The 17,540-nt window shown below is 46.3% G+C and overlaps 1 protein-coding gene across 8 annotated transcripts in view, besides 2 other annotated features; it reads left to right on the top strand.

Annotated features, from left to right (window-relative positions):
* Positions 1-17,540, top strand: part of TXNL4A (thioredoxin like 4A) — a 63,124-nt gene that overhangs the window by 34,668 nt on the left and 10,916 nt on the right. For 3 of the 8 annotated variants that reach the window (NR_131177.2, NR_131176.2, NM_006701.5), the window contains exon 1: positions 10,706-11,029. The exons of 2 other annotated variants lie outside the window; for them this stretch is intronic. Coding sequence is in view for 3 of the 6 variants with exons in the window: in NM_006701.5 (NP_006692.1) it covers positions 10,877-11,029 (153 nt within the window). In the remaining 3 variants the exon portion in view is untranslated. Of the gene's footprint in view, positions 1-10,705; positions 11,030-12,518; positions 12,668-17,540 lie in introns of those variants that run through there. 3 more of the 8 variants (NR_131175.2, NM_001303471.3, NM_001305557.2) reach the window with 2 other exon arrangements.
* Positions 10,324-10,613: a silencer, noted in NCBI's record as "silent region_9586". NCBI's record gives its function as "represses an Ori minimal core promoter by ATAC-STARR-seq in GM12878 lymphoblastoid cells {active_cell/tissue: GM12878}" and the evidence as "EXISTENCE:reporter gene assay evidence [ECO:0000049][PMID:35858748]".
* Positions 10,654-10,893: a silencer, noted in NCBI's record as "silent region_9585". NCBI's record gives its function as "represses an Ori minimal core promoter by ATAC-STARR-seq in GM12878 lymphoblastoid cells {active_cell/tissue: GM12878}" and the evidence as "EXISTENCE:reporter gene assay evidence [ECO:0000049][PMID:35858748]".

Raw genomic sequence — 17,540 nt, 5'->3', positions numbered from 1 at the left:
TCACTGCACCCGGCCTAGAATAGCTTCTAACAGCTCTGATACTTGTACATTTTTTATGGGTTGCCCTGAGGAGGCTAAATATCCTCCATCTTTCCATAGCATCCCAAAGTCATGCAAACCCCAAAAGCATAGCAGCTGTCAGTGCAAATGTTTGCAGCCTTGTATTTTGCCAATTGACAAGCTCGGGTCAGGGCAGTCAACTCAGCCACTTGAGATGATCTGGCTTCGGGAAGAGGACCGGCTTTAATTACCTCTAGTAAGGAAACCACAGCATATCCTGCTCCAAAATTTCCATCCTCTCCTCTTAAATAAGACCCATCCGTATACCATTCTATTTTAGCATGATCCAGTGGCATCTCTTGTAGGTCTGTCCTGGGGTGAGAAGTCAGTCATCAGAACACAGTCATGAGGGGTCTTGTCAGAAGGGCCTGACAAGAGAGTGGCCAGATTAAGATTATTATACTGGAAGTAGTAATATTGGAAGATGGTACAAGCAAAATTTGATAAGAGGCTGACCGGTTGACAGACACACGTTGAGTATGATGAGAGTTTAGAAGGGTCTCAGGAGAATGTGGCACAGAAATGGTAAGGGGGGAACCCATACTTATTTCTTCAACAGACTTGTACAGAAGGGCCATGGTTGCTACTGCTCTCACACAAGGAGGCAGCCCTCAAGCCACCGGGTCCAGGTGTTGGCTAAAATAGCCTATAGGCCTCTGATGATCACCATGTTTCTGGATCAGTACCCTGGATGCAGTACCTCCAGTTTTGTGTGTGAAAAGGGAGAAAGGCAGTTTGTAGTTTGGGTGCCCTAAGGCTGGGGCATTAGTTAGAATTTCCTTTATTTGTTGTACAGCTGATTGTCCCTCAGGACTCCACAAGGCAGGATCAGGTTGTTCATTTTTTAGGTATGCATAGAGAGGTTGAGCCATAAGGAAGAAATTTGGTATCCAGTTTCTTTCTTTTTTTTTTTTTTGAGACGGAGTCTCGCTCTGTCGTTCAGTCTGGAGTGCAGTGGTGCAATCTCGGCTCACTGCAAGCTCTGCCTCCCAGGTCCACACCATTCTCCTGCCTCAGCCTCCAGAGTAGCTGGGACTACAGGTGCTGCCACCACGCCCAGCTAATTTTTTTGTATTTTTAGTACAGAGGGGGTTTCACCGTGTTAGCCAGAATGGTCTCGATCTCCTGACCTCGTGATCCACCCGCCTCAGCCTCCCAAAGTGCTGGGATTACAGGCCTGAGCCACCGGGCCTGTCCACTGGTATCCAGTTTCTACAATAGCCAGCCAGGACCCAAAATCCTCTAAGCTGTTTATTAGTAACAGGCATTGGGAAAGCTAAAATTCCTCTCACTCTGTCAGGGTTAATACTCAGTCCTTTGACTGAGATAATATGCCTCCAAATGCTTAACTTGCAGCAAGCATCGCTGAAGTTTGTCTTTGGACACTTTGTGTCCTTTGGTGGCTGTTTGAGTAAATATAGACCATCTTCCTGGGAGGAAGATAGTGTGTCTGAACAAAGAAGGTCACCTACATACTGAATGAGTGTTGAGCCCTGGGGAAAAATTAAATCCTCTAAATCAGCTTTTAATATTTGGGAAAAGTAAGTGGGACTTTGTGTATACCCTTGAGGCATTACCGTCCACATATATTGCCCTTCTTTCCAAGTAAAGGTAAACAAATACCGGCTGTCTGGATCTACAGGAATACTAAAGAAGGCACTGCAGAGATCTGCAACTGAGAAATACTAGCTGGTACTGGGTATAGTTGATAGAAGGATATGTGGGTTGGGGATTATTGGGTGTCTGGGTATTGCCATATTTATTGCCCTCAAGTCATGTACAAATCTCCGTCCCCTCCTGCTTGTTTTTTTTTGTTTTTGTTTTTGTTTTACAGGGAATATGGGGCTGTTGCAGGGGCTTGTGCAGGGAATAGTTGAGCCCCCTTTTCAGTTAATCTTGGATGACAGGGGCGATTCCATCTGTAGCTTCCTGTCAGAGAGGATACTGTTTGAGGTTGGGTAGGGGGTTCTTCAGGTTTATCTCTACCTTTATGGAAGTGGCTGAGAATATTTTCCCTATATCTGTATTTGACTGAGAGTATAAGTGGGAAGGGACATCCTTAAGCAAATGCTCCACTTCTGGAGTTAACAGGAAGACTGGGGAAGCTAAAAGGAGTTTTACTGTTTTCTGCTCTTTATTCCAATGTTCTCTCTTCTCTTCTAGTATTTCCTTCTCTGTCTCATTTCCCTTCCCCAGTCACAAAATGGTGTCTTAACATTACTAGTACTAAATTGTGGTGCAATGTCAGGTCTTGTTTTTTCTTTGTGAGATGGAGTCTCCCTCTGTCGCCCAGGCTGGAGTGCAGTGGCACAGTCTTGGCTCACTGCAACCTCCGCCTCCTGGGTTCAAGTGATTTTCCTGCCTCAGCCTCCCAAGTAGCTGGGATTACAGGCATGCGCTACCACGCCTGGCTAATTTTTGTATTTTTACTAGAGACGAGGTTTCACCATGTTGGCCTGGCTGATCTCTAACTCCTAACTTCAAGTGAGCCACCTGCCTCGGCCTCCCAAAGTGCTGGGATTACAGGCATGAGTGACTGCATCCTGCTGTCAGGATGTTTTCTAAGTTGATATTGTTGGTCCCTGGCTTCAATTCTAGAAGAAGCTCACCTTTCGATGAAAAAGAGATATGAGCATTATGGATGTTGACGAGATCACAGCCCAAAAGATTGACGGGGCTGCAGGGCACATTAGAAACACATGGGACCAACGGAGCATGTCACACTTAGAGCCCATGGCGGGGCATCTGAACCCAAAGAAATGTTAAGGTTTAGGTTTAGACTTAAAACATGAGAGAGTTTTATTAGACACAGCCACCATGTTAATTCTTTCATTACTCTCACGTATGGGGTTTCTAAATTAGGTGGGATTTATAACAGATATAGCCACTCCTGTGTCAAATTCAGGCAGTTGTAAGCTCCTGGTTTATCATTATATCAATCTCTCCCAATTTGTCAGGGTAGAATATTTGGAGCAGTGAAACCCTGTACTTTCTCAGAGCACCCTAGTCTTCCTGAGCTGCATTTTCTTGTCTTTTCTTTCATTTCAGCCTAATGCAATCCCTCTTAAGCTGTCCTGGCCGTTTTTTTTTTTTTTTTTTTTTTTTGAGTCAGAGTCTTGCTCTGTCGCCCAGGCTGGAGTGCAGTGGCGCGATGTGGGCTCACTGCAAGCTCCGCCTCCCAGGTTCACGCCATTCTCCTGCCTCAGCCTCCCAAGTAGCTGGGACTACAGGCGCCCGCCACCATGCCCGGCTAATTTTTTTTGCATTTTTAGTAGAGACGGGGTTTCACCATGTTAGCCAAGATGGTCTCGATCTCCTGACCTCATGATCTGCCCGCCTCAGCCTCCCAAAGTTCTGGGATTACAGGCGTGAGCCACCGCGCCCGGCCGTTGTCCTGGTCTTTTACACTAGTAACAGACTGGGAGGGAAGAGTCCTCAGACCTATGAGCTTAAAATCTTTCTGGGGCTGAGAGGTTTGAAAAGTTAATTGCTTTAACTGTAAACGCATAACTTGGGCAATCTTCTGTTTTTCCTTTTTATCACAGTGCGGGATAACTGGTCAGCTAACTAGTTCATTAGTTCTGGCTGTGGCCCAATTTATCATGTGGCATTTTCTAAGGGTGGCTAAATCATCACCTAGTCTAATAAATTTGCATTTAATATTGTAGCATTTTTATTGTTTTCATAGCAATCAGCTGACATCCTGCAATATTGTCTAAAAGTTTTATCAAAACGTGTGAAATAATCTAAAACGGATTCCTTTGTGCTCTGGCAGCATTGCTGGATTTTCCTCCAATCCACGACCCTCCGGGACACTGAAGGAATGCTATTTAACAGAACAGTCATCGTTCACGAGCATCTCTGCGTCTGTCTTCAGGATTTGGGGCTGGCTGATTTGGCCTTCCTGGGCCTTTAGAGATCAGGTCTGCTACAATGTCTGACCACTGTGCCTTTTCCAGCCACTTAGCTTTAGCTTCTGAGACCAGTATGTGGACCAGCTGATAAAGGTCTGAATGACCCGGGTCATAGATTCTGATAATGAGCTCAAACTCTTGAGCAAACCCAATTGGATCTTTACGGGAGGCAGGAAATTCTTTATGCCTCGCAACTCAGCCATTAACCAGGGTTGACAGACAATCACAGGGGTTCCCCTAACTGTTAACAGTTGTTCCCGAAACGGGTTGATCATGAGAGGAGTCCCTATGGTGTCCCCTTTTCCATGTCTTCCAGATGAGAGGCTGCCACTGGCGATACCAGAGAATCGGCAGGAAGTAGGGTCTTGGAAGTTAGATTCCCTACTGCCTTCGGTTCAGTGAGTGGCAGGCAAGGAGGAGAATAGGGTAGATTGGAACCTGAAGGAAAAGGACGGGAGAGGTCTGGTCCAGGAAGTCCAGAGGGTTAGGGGTAGAGTGGGGGTGTAGGTGGAGGTAGGGGAGGCACTAAGGGGGAAGTAAGGGATTTGGAGGATTTCTTTAAGAGAGAGAAACGATTAGAGAGTTCTCGATTGGCAGTTCTGAGTTGTTTGTTGGCCTCCTGTAGGGAGATGAGGTGATCTTTCCCCTGGGAGGATTTCTTTAAGAGAGATAAACGATTAGAGAGTTCTCGATTGGCAGTTCTGAGTTGTTTGTTGGCCTCCTGTAGGGAGATGAGGTGATCTTTCCCCTGGGAGGATTGCTTTAAGAGAGATAAAACGATTAGAGAGTTCTCGATTGGCAGTTCTGAGTTGTTTGTTGGCCTCCTATAGGGAGATGAGGTGATCTTTCCCCTGGGAGGATTTCTTTAAGAGAGATAAATGATTAGAGAGTTCTCGATTGGCAGTTCTAAGTTGTCGGCTTCCTGTAGGGAGGTGAGGTGATCTTTCCCCCCGCTGGCTACTCTCCAGGTACCAAGAAAGTAGCTCTCCCATTCCGGTTTCTTAGTTTTTGTGCCCGCGTTTTCCATTCTGGTTCGCGGGTACACTAAATTGGGCATCTCAAAAGATCCCCATTTAGGCCATTGTAACTTAGAACTACTTTGGTTATAGTGGTCCACTTGGTTAAATATTTGCATGACAATTTGCCGTAAGTATTTTGCATGTACCTGGCCGGAGTTTCTAAAGGTGGAACTTTATGTTCCTCAGCTGCTGGGGTTTTAGCTAATTTAGAGGCCTCATTCCCCATAATTTAAAGTTCCCCTTCGGATTCAACCAAGTTGGGATGTGTGTGAGACCCAAAGTGTGCTGCCTGGGGACCTGGCTCTTCAGGGCCATTATTCCTTGAACCAGTTCAGTCCACGCTTGTCGCGGCTACCTGGTAAAGTGTGTCAGGGGCTCCAGGTGTGGGAAGGGTCAGCTCCTTATATGCACCTACCAGATGAGATTAGACCTTAAGCATGTTTTTCTGGGGAGAAAACCAGCTCAGAGCTGTTGCACGTCTTAAGGTGCTTTCCTCCCAGACACCCTCACGCGATTCTCAGTTGCCTAAGAATGCCCCGAAAGGCTGAGGGGAGTAAAGTGCTCTTATTTCTTTAGAAAATTCCACACTCATAAGCTAGAGGGTTTGGAGTTGGTCAAATCCGGTAGCTGAAAGGACTGAAACACACACACAACCCAACACACACAACCCAACAAGACGGAAACAACAAAACAGCTAAGCAAAACTAACAGTGATCACGCAAATTATATGACTTCTGAGCACTCAAGTGTAAGCAGAAATTAACACCAGTGGGTTGTTCATGCTAACTTTAGTCATTTAAAAAGAATTTGCAAGACAAAATCCCAAACCAATTCCTTACCTAGTGATAGGAGCCCAAGCTGAAAAGTGCTCTCCACAGATGCAGCAGCAGACAGGCTGCCTTCCTTGATGGAAGTGAGTGGAAATTCCAGGAAAAAAGGAGATTTTTTTTTTTTTAAACAGCAAATAAACCTCTGACCCCCAACTGAAAAACACTGGAAGATCAGGGATCCCTGGAAAAAAGAGGTCCGAGACTTCAGCAAATTGTCCTACCAGTTTAGGCTACAAGGTGCCCAGACCAGTACCAAGCACCAATAGGAGAGCTGCTGCAGGCTGGGCCACCTTCGCCCAGGTTCCCTTAGTGGTTACCACATGTCAGTCGAAAAAAATGATGAGACCAGTCTCATTCCAGGAGGCTTATCTGCCAAAGATAAGGACTCGTGCCTGGGAGACAGGTCTACGCCTTTCTCCAAAGATTATTTTGAGGGCTCCAAATTTAAAGGGGAAAGGGTGGGATATTGAGAAGTACACAAATTTCACATAAGAGGAGGGTAGGGAAAAATAGTCATTCATGCCTTTGGTTCAGTGAATCTGCATTTTTTTTTTTTTTTTTTTTTTTTTACATAAGATGACAGACAAATGGGGCAGAGGAATCTGCATTATTACATAAGGTAACATAGACAAAACATAACAAAAGGGCAGGGGAACAATCAGATATGCATTTGTATCTGGTAGGCAGGGGGATGACTGCACCTGTAAAGACAAGCTATCGATTTACATTACCATGGCGAAATTTTAACAGGAACACCTTAGGGCAGAAATCTTGGAGCTCACCAGGAATTTCCTTGTGGGCAAAATATGGGGGAGGCGTGTAGGTTATCATCTTGCAGCCCTCTTATTTAGGAACCAAAAGGGGAGGCAGGTTTGCCTGACCCAGTTCCCAGCTTAACTTTTCCCTTTGGCTTAATGAGTTTGGGGTCACAAGATTTATTTTCCTTTCACAGTATGTAAGCCCTGGGTCTGGGAAGGCCCTGGGCCTGGGGGTGATGGTTGGGAAACCACCACCTTGTCTCACCACTGCCAGAGACACAGATGTGGCTTCTGTACATAAGTCCCTATTAAATGTTTCTCTCTAAAGAACTAGATTTGCCAGTCCCTTTCTTTGGCGTCTCAGCTTCCTCTGACTTTGGGGCAGATTTGTATAGGCCTGGCCACTGAGGAACAGTCACTAACCATTAGGAAAAGGCAAATGAAAACCACCTTATCATTTTATACCTACCAGTATGACCATAATACAAGGCTGTGAAAGGAAAGTATCTTGGGTCCCTTCAACCTGCCTCCCATTCTAGTCAGTCATCCCTCTGCTCACTGAGACAGATGCACAGCTGACTGTCTCCTTTGGAAAGGCTGATCAGAAACTCACAAGAATGCAACTGTTCATCTCTCACATATCTGTGACCTGGAAGCCCCCTTCCCGCTTTGAGTCTTCCTGTCCTTGCTTCAAGTTGTCCCGCCTTTCCAGACTGAACCAATGTTCTTCTTACATATATTGATTGATGTCTCATGCCTCCCTAAAATGTATAAAACTAAGCTGTGCCCCGACCACCTCGGGCACATATCATCAGGACCTCCTGAGGCAGTGTCATGGATGCATCCTCAACCTTGGAAAAATAAACTTTCTAAATTAATTGAGACCTGTCTCAGATTTTTGGGGTTCACGAGGTACATAAATAACAAGCATGGGCAAGAATGTGGAAAAACTGAAACCCTCACACATTCCTGGTGAGAATGTAAAATGGTGTAGCCAATTTGGAAAACAATTTAGCAATACTTAAAAATGTTAAACAGTTACCACATGAAAACTTAAGTCCACACAAAAGCTTGTACATGAATGTTCATAGCAGCATTACTCATAATAGTAAAAAAATGCAAACAACCCAAATGTCAATCAACTGATGGATAAAATGTAGTATATCCATATAATGGAATAGTTTCTAATTTTTTGTTTTATTTAATGAAATATTCATCAGCAATTAAAAAGAACTAGCTGTTGATGTCTGCTACAATATGGACCTTGAGAACATTATGTTAAATGAAAGCAGTCACAAACGACTCCATATTTTGTGTTTCCATCTATATGAAATGTCTAGAATAGGTAAATCTATAGAGGCAGAAAATAGATTAGTGATTGCCAGGGGCTGAGGGAATGGGAGGGAAATGGGAAATGACTGTTAATGGGTATAGGTTTTCTTTTCGGGGTGATAACATTCTCCTAAAATTAGATTGTGGTATTGGTTCCACAACACTGAAAAACCATCTCACCTTCAATTGGTGAATTTTATAGTATATGGATTAGATCTCAACAAAAGTTTTTTTTTTTTTTTTTTTTTGAGACGGAGTCTGGCTCTGTCGCCCAGGCTGGAGTGCAGTGGTACAATCTCGGCTCACTGCAAGCTCCGCCTCCCGGGTTCACGCCATTCTCCTGCCTCAGCCTCCCGAGTAGCTGGGACTACAGGCGCCCGCCACCGCGCCCGGCTAATTTTTTTTTTGTATTTTTAGTAGAGACGGGGTTTCACCGTGTTAGCCAGGATGGTCTCGATCTCCTGACCTCGTGATCCGCCCGCCTCGGCCTCCCAAAGTGCTGGGATTACAGGCGTGAGCCACCGCGCCCGGCCAAAAGTTTTTATTAAAGAAAAGATTTATCTGGAGATGGATAGTGGTGATGGTTGCATAATATGAATGTACTTAATGTCCTTAAAAATTAAGGCGATAAATCTTGTTATAAGTAACACAATAAAAAATGAGTTTCAATAAATTATTTGGGGACATTTGAGTCTTATGCCTTAGCTTGGAACAACTCTCCTGTGAATAAAATGCTTGTGATGTGTTAAGCAACTGTGTTTGTATCTGAAATGAGTGACTACCAAAATGACGGTAAGGAATTTTTTAGAAGGCAATAGCCTGACCTTAGTAAGGGCTCAGATTTCTCCAGTGTGTACCTGGTGCCAATGAAGTACAGGAGATTTTGTTTTATCATCCCATCTCATGGATGAGGAAACTGAAGTTTGTTGAGATAACTTATGCAAGGCACAGATGAACCTGAACACGCCTTTATGTAACTAAAACCCTCACTGTTAACCACTATGCTTATATTCTGTGCCTCTGCTTTACTCAATTATAAAATGAAAGAGATTTAGATGATCTCTAATATCCTACCAACCTGAAATTGTTTCATTACAATAAAGCATTTCGTATATAATTGGGAAATATTCTGTATTATGTAAAAAGCTTAATCTGGCAGTGAGCTGCACTTGTGATTCTAGTATTTAAATTGTGGGTGCATATTATCAAAGCACCTTATGGTGCTGTGTCCCAGAGGAAACCAAACATGGAACCCATTTCAATCCCCATGCCAGCAGGCTCTTCAGACTGTAGTTCTCACCATGCCACAGCCCATCTGAGAGACACCACAGCATCTGCATAGTGATTTGTTGTTGTTTTTGAGATGGAGTCTCACTCTGTCACCCAGGCTGGAGTGAAGTGGTGCGATCTCAGCTCACTGCAACCTCCACCCCCTGGGTTCAAGCGATTCTCCTGCCTCAGCCTCCCTAGTAGCTGGGATTATAGGCGGGCGCCACCATGCCCGGGTAATTTTTTGTATTTTTAGTAGAGACGGGGTTTCACCATGTTGGCCAGACTGGTCTTGAACTCCCGACCATAGGCGATCCGCCGGCCTCGGCCTCCCAAAGTGCTGGGATTACAGGCGTGAGCCACCGCGCCCGGGCGTGATTTGTTTTAAATTTGTCATCTAAAGGACCACCAGGATAGCTAGATAGTAGACAAGAGTTTTACTATCAATATCAGTTTGCAAACCAGGGAGTCTCCAGCATGAACCCAAAGTGCTCTCTCAGAAGAACAGAGGTTAGAGGTTTTATTTTAAAAAGAGAAATATTAACTTATTTCTCTTTGAGAAAGTTCACTGGCACTAGTAAGGGTTTGGGGAGCTCTGACTGGTGAGCGAAGCCAGGGGGCCAGATCAGTCCTGGAGGTGGAAGTTATGCTGAAGCTATGGAATAAAACTGGCTTTAGGTCGGGCGCGGTGGCTTCTTCCTGTAATTTCAGCGCTTTGGGAGGCCGAGGCGGGCAGATCACTTGAGGTCAGGAGTTCAAGACCAGCCTGGCCAACATGGTTAAACCCCGTCTCTACTAAGTACAAAAAAACACTAGCCGGGCTGGCGCCTTGTAGTCCCAGCTTATGGGGAGGCGGAGGCAGGAGAAGCGCTTGACCCCGGGAGGCGGAGGCTGCAGTGGGCCAAGATCACGTCACTGCACGTCTCAAAAAAAAATTTTTTTTCTTTATAAAAAGACAAATTAAAAAACCTGGTTTCAGGTTACAACAGGCAGCTCAGCAGCCGGCCTGATGGTGACATTCCTCAAGGACGGCCTGCCCAGTGCTTCCTCCCTACCCCGCTGCTCGACTCTGCTGTGGTTGGGTATGGCAACAACGACACATTTTTATGATCAAGTTTCACAAATGACACACATGAACTGTCTTAGTAACACACAGAAACAAGCACCAGAAAGGAAGAAAACGAGCCGCAGTGCCGGGCATTCCGGGCCTTTCTGGACGTCCCCATCCGTGGCTGGAGGACAGCCCGGGCGGCGGCGGGCGGCCTCGGGGCGGGAGCGTGGGGGCAGGGCACGGCGAGCCCGGGGCTTCTCAGGACCACCAGGCCGCCTGGACGCTGGGGAGGAACCCCCACTCCGACAGCTGCTATGACGGAACCAACGGCGCTCCACGGTGCCCAGGTCGCCGCCGCTCCACCCGGCCAACTACACGTTCGCGCGGCGCCTATACGCACATGCCGTCAGCACGCACGGCGCTAGCGCGCGCGCATGCCGTCAGCACGCACGGCGTCGGTGCGTGCGCGCCCAGACGTTCTGCCGGGTGGCAGTCCCAGCGGAGTTTGCGTGTGCGGGCGGGACCGGATTTCGTCCGTGGGCCCGGGGGCGGCGGGGGCCGGGGAGTGAGGGGCCGGCTGAGCCCACCTCGCTGGGCCCTCCCTGGCGCCCCGCCTTGGGCGGCGGCGAGCGCGCGGGCCGCCATGTCGTACATGCTCCCGCACCTGCACAACGGCTGGCAGGTGGACCAGGCCATCCTCTCGGAGGAGGACCGCGTGGTCGTCATCCGCTTCGGCCACGACTGGGATCCTACGTGCATGAAGATGGACGAGGTCCTGTACAGCATCGCCGAGAAGGTAGCGCGCCGGACTCTCCCGCTCTGCGGGCTGTGCTTCCGCATCTGCCCCGCGCCTCTGCCCTGCCGGCGTCGCCTGGGGGCGCGAGCTGTTCCCCGAGGAGGGGCCGCGGCTCCGTCGTTCAGGCGATTCCTCCCCTCGCTGCGGTCGAGCGCTCTCGGGGACTGTGCCGGCGTTTCACGCCTTTTTCTGCGGGGAGCTCTTGTAGTTTTTCATATTTTAAAGGGTTTATGATCCCCCTCCTCTCAAATGAATTAATTATTTCTGTTGATAAGGCGTTTTTCCCAAACTTATAGTTCAGTGAACAAAATGCACTTGCAGGTTTTATTGAGAGCGCGGATCCTTAATTTAAAAGGACGTCTTTTTTTGGTACCTGAGTTATTCGTTGTATGCATAAAGCAGGACTTTCATGTTCATAGCATGAGAAATCCTGCTTTTCTGTGGGTGTGTTTTTTTATCCCACCACGCTTTTTGTGAGTCATGTGGTTTACAGCTTACAGTGATTGAGGTGCAGTAAACATCAGGAGAAAATAGAAATATGCTTTGTTAGAATTAGTTCTCTGAATTTCTAATATTAGTACACTGAGTGGTCTTGGCATTTACTTGCTGACAATAAAAGTTGTAGGACACTATTTTATAACCAGATTTCATTCTTTTTCTGTGGTTCCTCATAGCAATTTTAGGATGACTTTTATTGAGGTTTTGCAGCTGTAGCAATAGGGCAAAGGGCACAAATACTAGGGTGTTAATAAAATATTTGCCATATTAATTTTCCATAAGTAATTTGAGAGGTTATTCCTTTTAATGAAGAGTAAAAGTAACATTGAAGCTATCTTTTCTTTCACAGATGCTAAAAAGTAGGCCTGGGTTAAAATAACTCCTTTGAGTAAAGAGTAACAGATGTAAGGACATATTTTATATTCAGGAAAGGAAAGACTATCTGGCCTGCCATTTATTAATTTTTGCTATTTCTTATTTAGTAGGAGAGGCATGAAGTTAGGAACTGTTGTTATATTTTAGTTATTACAAGACTCCCTTGGAGTGCTTACTAGAATGCATCTGTGATTCTGATTCTATGGGTATGGGGTGAAGTCCAGCAATGGCTTTTTAAAGAAGCCCCTCAGGGAATTCTGATGCGACTTGACCTTGAACCACCTTCCATGGGGGTCAGGGATGGAGGTGGAGTAGCTTTAGTACCAGCCATCTCGCAGCCTCTTCCTCCTGGACACTGAGGACTTGAGGAGGGACCTAGGGAATTCGGGAGAGCAGCAGTTCTCTCACACGCTGGGGGTTCTGCCAGCCGGGGATTAGAGATGATGAGAGAGGCAGTGCCACACATCAGTTTGTCATTGCTTGAGCTGTAGTGGACAAGGGCAGATACTGGAAATCCAGCGAAGAATTGACTAAGAGCAGTTTCCCAATAAGTAAATCACTGCTGTATTGACTTTGAGTTATGAATTCTAGAATCTTTCACTGTTCTACATTGCAGGTGGTGGCATAAACATCGGGTGGTGTTCAGATCCTGCTGCCGGCAGCTCGAGGCTAGGATGGCTGGAGATGTGAGGGCCTTTGTCTCATCACATCCGAGCACAGCTCAGCAAGATGCTCTTAGCTAGAAAACAGATTTTATGTGTTAATGTAAGTGTTTAGGGTCTTTGCCAGATTTGCTCTTTTCCAACTCCTTTATGTCCAATTTCTTTGTTATTACAGAATGAATCACTGTATCACTAGTGGACACACATAGTGGACACACACTTAAGGACAGTTGAAATGGGCTCACTTTGGGGTATTTTTTTTGGTCTTTTAAAATAGTCTGATTTTTGTTTTTGTCCAAAAATTTGGATAGCTTTATTAATAAACTTTTAATGCGAATATTATAATATAGTTATTAAAAGGGCAAACCTAGGCCAGGCGCGGTAGTTCATGTCTGTAATCCCAGCACTTTGGGAGGCCAGCGTAGGCGATCACTTGAGCCCAGGGATTCGAGACCAGCCTGGACAATATGGTGAAACCCCTTCTCTACTAAAAGTACAAATGCCGGGCGTGGTGGCACGTGCCTGTAGTCCCAGCTACTTGGGAGGCTGAGGTGGGAGAATCACCTGAGCCCGGGAAGTCAAGACTGCAGTGAGCCATGATTACACCACTGAACTCCAGCCTGGGCAACAGGAGTGAGACTCTGTCTCCAAAAAAAAAAAAAGTGCACACCTGAAATGCATTAAAAGAATATTCATGTTTTATTTTCTTCTTAGTCTATGGGCAAATATGACTTCCTAATTCTGGAAGCCCTTTTTTGGAGAAGCTCAACAGAAATTTTTGAAATATAAGGTTTTAGTATAAAGAACAATATAACTATTTAAAAATTTCCCTGTGCAGAAATGGCAGATAATGGGGACTCTTCCTTACCTTGTTCCGAGTTCTGTCTGGATATTCCAGCTGTTTTAAAGTGAGTAACAGTTGCAAATGTTCAGGCTGGACTTGATATGATTTTTCCTAGATGTGTTGTATTGATTTGCTGCTTCCACAGGGCCCACTTGACTTCATGCTGGATTAGAGTTGAGCTGTAAACTTCAGGAATAAAGTCAGTTTGGAAACAGAGCTATGCTTAAAAGATTTCACAGATGCCTAGAGTTTGCTAATAAATGTGGGGCAATTCATTTGATAAAGTGATAATAATAAATAAAGTTTTCATCTGGGCACTGTGTCTCACGCCTGTGGTCCCAGCATTTTGGGAGGCCGAGGTGGGTGGTTCCCTTGAGCCCAGGAGTTCGAGAACAGCCCGGGCAACATGGTGAAACCTTGTCTGTACAAAAAATGCAAACATTAGCTAGGCGTTGTGGCATGTGCCTGTGGTCCCAACTACTTGGTAGGCCGAGGTGGGAGGATATGAGTCCAGGAGTTCAAGGCTGTGACAAGCCGTGATCGCGCCACTGCATGCCAGCCTGGGTGACAGAGCGAGACCCTGTCTCAAAAAAAAAAAGTTTTCTATTTAGCAGCTGATTTTATGCAGTTTTGAAGCGAGACAATTTCATGTACGAGCTGTCTTTCCATTTTGTAGGAACACTGTCACAGGAGACAATTTCATGGACCTTTGAGCTGTCTTTCCATTTTGTAGGAACACCATCACAGGAGACAATTTCATGTACCTTTGAGCTATCTTTCCATTTTGTAGGAACACCGTCACAGGAGACAATTTCATGGACCTTTGAGCTGTCTTTCCATTTTGTGGGAACGCCGTCACAGGAGACAATTTCATGTGCCTTTGAGCTGTCTTTCTATTTTGTAGGAACGCTCTCAGAGGGGACAATTTCATGTGCCTTTGAGCTGTCTTTCCATTTTGTAGGAACACTCACAGCAGTGCTTGGGGTTCACTGTTACCTAAATCCCATGATGGGTGAGAAGACTGAATGGGACGTTTATTTTTTGTGTTAAAAAGCCCACGCAAATAGAGTTTAAAATAGTCTCAGTGAGCTGGGCATTGTAGCATGTGCCTGTAACCCCACTACTCAGGAGGCTAAGACAGAGTATGAGCTCAGGAGGTCAAGGCTGCAGTAAGCTATCATCGTGCCGTTGCACTCCACCCTGGGTGATAGAGCGAGACCCCATCTCTAAAAACAAAACAAAAAAATTCCTCAGTAATATTATTGACTCATGATAGTACATTTTTTTTGTTTGTTTGAGACAAGAGTCTTCTTGTGTTGTCCAGGCTAGAGTGCAGTGGCACGATCTTGGCTCACTGCAACCTCAGCCTCCTGAGTAGCTGGGACTACAGGCCTGCACCACCACCACACCCTGCTAATTTTTGTATTTTTGGTAGAGATGTGGTTTTGCCATATTGGCCGGCTGGTCTCAAACTCCTGTCCTCAAGTGAGCCAGTCACCTCAGCCTCCCAAAATTCTGGGATTACAAGTGTGAGCCACCATGCCTGGCCCATGATAGTACATTCTAATAAATTGTGTGTAAGGCAGATATATATTTATGGAACTTCATAGGAGCCATATTAAGGGGTGTATCTTAAGTATCACATTAAGGATCACAGAACGCCTACTGAACCAGTGAGAGTCAACACTCAGCTAGATGAGGAATCTTGTAGAAACAAACAGAATGGATATTTTTGGTGTTTCCTCTGGATTTTTGTCTCTGGAAAAAAAACAGCCTTGTAGCTAGCCACAAGGTATGAGGGGTGATGTTGAGCCGTGGTTGAGGGTGCAGACTCTAGCCACAAGGTATGAGGGGTGGTGTTGAGTGGCGGTTGAGGGTGCAGACTCTAGCCACAAGGTATGAGGAGTGGTGTTGAGCGGCGGTTGAGGGTGCAGACTCTAGCTAGGCTCTTGGCACTTCATAACTGCATGAGCGTTACGAACTTGGCCCCGTGGGTCATCTTACCTGTAAAAAGGGCATACTTGTGCCTCACTCATAGGGTTGTGGTGGGATTAATAAAGGTTTCTAGAGCACTCCTGTCACATGGGCAGTAATGCCACTGTTATTACTGTGATTACTTCTCTCACATTACTAAGTTTGCAAGTTATTGTGAGAGCTGATTAAGGCAAACATTAATTTTAGAAAGTCAAGTTTTTCAGTTTTTTTTATGGCTTTGACATGAATTACCTAAAAATGTAAAAATAAACACTTCAAAAATTTGTTGTGCTAATCAACTGCCCAGAACACTTTTTCCGGAATTTTAGGTGTTTTCTTAGCTGGTTGAGGGACTCCATACAAAAGTGTAGAACAGTGGTTGGTATCATGTGCCAGTTTGGTCATGTGTTTTGCAGAGTTATGTCATTGTAACTTGGCAGGTGGACTTAGAGGCATGCGGAAGAACTGCTGAGCACTTTAATTGCTGACTTGCCTAAAGAAAAAGCATGCTTATGAGGTGTATAGGCAACAGAGTTGGAAAAGATACTTACAATTCAAGGCAATCAAAGAATTTAAAAACAATTTGAGGCCAGCGCCGTGGCTTAAACCTGTAATTCCAGCAGTTTGGGAAGCCGAGGCAGGCGAATCATCTGAGGTCAAGAGTTCGAGACCAGCTTGGCCAACATGTTGAAACCCCATCTCTACTAAAAATACAAAACTTAGCCAGATGTGGTGGTGGGCGCTTGTAATCCCAGCTACTCGGGAGGCTGAGGTGGGAGGATCTCTTGAGGCTGGGAAACAGAGGTTGCAGTGAGCCGAGATCACGCCACTCTGCTCCAGCCTGGGTGACAAAGTGAGATCCCATCTAAAAAAGAAAAGAAAAAGCTGCCTTTGTTGAGGAAGTCACAGGATGACTTGGCAGAGCAGTGTGGCTGCACTCACCCAGCTCCTCCTCCAAGCGCTTGGTTACCGTGGAAATGTCGCCACCAGCAGATGCTGCTGGATGTTTGCTGATGTTTGCCCTCAGCTCATGCTCCTCCAGTCACCCCACAGATGCCATTTCACCAAGAAAATGGGGTGGTGGGAGGCTGGGGAGCTCCCCTCTGCCTGCCTCTTTCAGCCTCTCCTATCTGAACTCCCAAGTCCCACAGTAACTTCCCTCTCTCTCCATAGCCACGGCTTTTGAAAGTTGTCCACACTGAAGTCCTCTGTTCCTCAGTCCTTCAGCCCCTGCAGTGTCCCCGTTCCCATATCGTCCTTTCTGGTAACCTCTCTGGGGCACTCGGCACAGCTCCCCGGAGTCTCCTGCCTTGGTTTCTGAGACTGCCTCCTTGGCATCCCTTTCCTGCCCCCAACTCTACAGTGGGCTTCTGCACTCACTCCCAAGCCTGGCACCTGCCACCCTGGCTGGGATCACTGCTGGATGTAGGTGGCGGCAGTAAGGTAGCTCTCTCCAGCCCAGACTCCATTGTACAGCTCCAGGCCAGTCGCTACCTGGAGGGCCTTTTTCTCTGGATGTCCCTTAGTTTTCTCAAACTCAGTATATACAAAACTGAACTCTTCAATTCCTGCTTTCTTAGAAATAAATACATGGCCCAGAATCCCAAGTGGAAAAGGTCCTCTGTGGGCCAGTCCACCTGCGCATCGGTCCCCACTGTCCTGCACTTCTGCTTCCTTGCCCTGGTGCTGGATCTGAGACCTGGCTGCTGGTCTTGTGTCTTTCTCTTTACACATGGAATTCTCTAAGGACAGATATTTCCCTGCCACCCCGTGACCACACTGCCGCCCCGTCTCCTGTGGGTTAGGCTGATTCTGTCATCCAGAGTTCAGGCTTTGGAGCCAGACAGAGTGCATCTCAGCTCTGCCCCTTCCCCGTGCGGCTGGGCATCACTCACGTGACCTTTCTGAGCCTGAATTCCATCACCTAAAACATCGGCGACATCTATTTAGAGGTGTTGAAAGAATTAGAATCCATGAGTGAAAAGTGCCTCATACATGGTGGATTCTCAAGTGTTCATGAAACTGGTCTGTGGTGAAATCAGAGGATGTTCACGTTCTCGTGGCACGTGAGCTTTATGTGGTAGTTTGCCTCTGTTAGAATTCTCCGGGTTAGATGCAGTGGGCCGGAGCTTGAAGGCAAAAGGAGAGTCACATTTGT

Source organism: Homo sapiens, chromosome 18, assembly GCF_000001405.40.
Source record: "Homo sapiens chromosome 18, GRCh38.p14 Primary Assembly".
NCBI classification, from domain to species: Eukaryota; Metazoa; Chordata; class Mammalia; order Primates; family Hominidae; genus Homo; species Homo sapiens.
Note: the sequence above shows the minus strand (reverse complement) of the source record. Positions and strands in the feature narration are given on the sequence as shown.